This window comes from Homo sapiens, chromosome X (assembly GCF_000001405.40).
Source record: "Homo sapiens chromosome X, GRCh38.p14 Primary Assembly".
NCBI classification, from domain to species: domain Eukaryota; kingdom Metazoa; phylum Chordata; class Mammalia; order Primates; family Hominidae; genus Homo; species Homo sapiens.
In genome coordinates, this window is record NC_000023.11 from 111,632,332 (window position 1) to 111,634,367 (window position 2,036).

A 2,036-nucleotide genomic window follows, 5' to 3' on the forward strand; every position below is an offset into this window, starting at 1 on the left:
TTGCTGTTGATTTTTGTGTTGCACATGACAAAAAGTTATTTTCATTTGGTGGCAGCAACAATTGGGAATTTGTTTTTATTGTTTGGCCATTTGGCAATCTTTATTGGGTGGATGGTGAAGTACTGTTCTCTGTTGGGTGAGAAGCAGAGAAACCGGTTTGTTTAGGCTTTTTGTTTGTCTATTTGCAAAATCGAATCAACTAAGAATTTTGTGCCTGTTGTGAAGGAGAACAATTCTTTCATATTTAGACCTATAGGTTTTTGTATTTATATGTTTACACTTGACCTGTGGCAGAAGCTGTAGAACTGAAGCTATAAGCTCTCCATATATCTTATGCTTTTCTGTAAACCTGAAAGTTCTTTCTCTCTCATGTAGAGTATAAAATAATTTCCTACTTATGAAGGGTAATACTAAATCTGATCATAATGTATCTCTGAGGAGGTCAGTTGTGATTAATTTATAGATAAATAATAACATATGAATCTAATAGTGCTATAAATAACAGAAAATTTTTAAATGAACTTCTAACACTTTAAATGTGCTATATATTTACAAAATTCTTACAGAAATGTCTAGCTCAGAAACATTTTAAGAATTAACGTTTACTTAAGATGAATCTTTGGACAGTTTAGATTGGTTTGATAATTTAGATTTAAGGTTGGGCACAGTGGCTCATGCCTGTAATCCCACCACTTTGGGAGGACAATGTGGGTGGATCACTTGACGCCAGGAGTTCGAGACCAGCCTGGTCAACATGGTGAAACCCCGTCTCTGCTAAAAATACAAAAATTAGCCGGGTGTGGTGATGCGCGCCTGTAATCCCAGCCACTTGGGAGGCTGAGGCAGGAGAATCGCTTGAACCCAGGAGGCAGAGGTTGCAGTGAGCCAAGATTGCACCACTGCACTCCAGCCTGAGCTACAGAGCAAGACTCTGTCCTAAAAACAAAAGAAAAAAAATAGTTTTAAGAAAGAAAGAGGAAATCTTTAGGTCTTTTTCTCAAATGTGTATTAAGTATAATAAAATTTACATTTTATTTTTATGATTGTTTTCTTTTATGAAGAGACTATTTAATGTGAACTTCTTAAACATCTTTTGGTTTACCAATCAAATAAGCTAACACTCCTACTTAATCTTTAAGATTATGAAAAATGTAGATTTGTATTTTATTAAAAGTCATCTGTCAAATGTTTTACTCCTACTATAATTATGTTTTGTAGCTTGAACATGATTTTCAATATTCTTAGGTAAATTAAACACTTAGATTTGAATCAAATTAAACTAATTAATGAATAATTTTTGATTGCTAGATAATTTCTAGGTGAAGTAGAATACTAAAAATAATGATTATTGAGCATAATTTCAAACTGCCATACATTTACTTCGTATTTTTTATATGCTATAGGGTGACTATGTCTTTGGTCATGTTAACAAACATGTTGCTTTTTTTGACACATTAAGATGTAAAAAGAAATTTGAGTCTGTAAAAAGTTGTGCATTCACAACAAGCTTTGCTAGTTGGCTTAAATTCTAGTGTGTGGCATTTCTCAATTATTTACCTCCCAGTTTTTTCTGTGAGTGGAAGTTAGTTACTCTGGTTAAAAGTTATTATTAGCATGAGTGGTTGAAACTATTCTAGGAAAAACAGTAACAGAGAAATAAACCTGAGTATATAAGGTTATGTGCTTGTTTATCAAGATAAAAAGTTAATGCTTTTTTTCTTTAAAGCATCTGATTGTTCCAGAATTTAAAATATAGGAAAACACAAAGCTTTAAGTTACAGAAAGTTATAGATTTTCAGAAAGAACATTTTCGTTTGCCATAGTTTATAGTACTGACTCTGAAAAGAAGCAATAACGTGTAAAAATTGGCCAAAATTTGACTCAATTTTAAAGGATTTCTTCATAAGCAAAAACAAAGCTTGTGAAATTTTACTGCCAATATTACTGCAAAACTAGAATTGGCTCTCTCTATATTAAAATGATAAATTACCAAGGGACATATAAATAGATCAATGGAATAGAATATAAAACCCAGG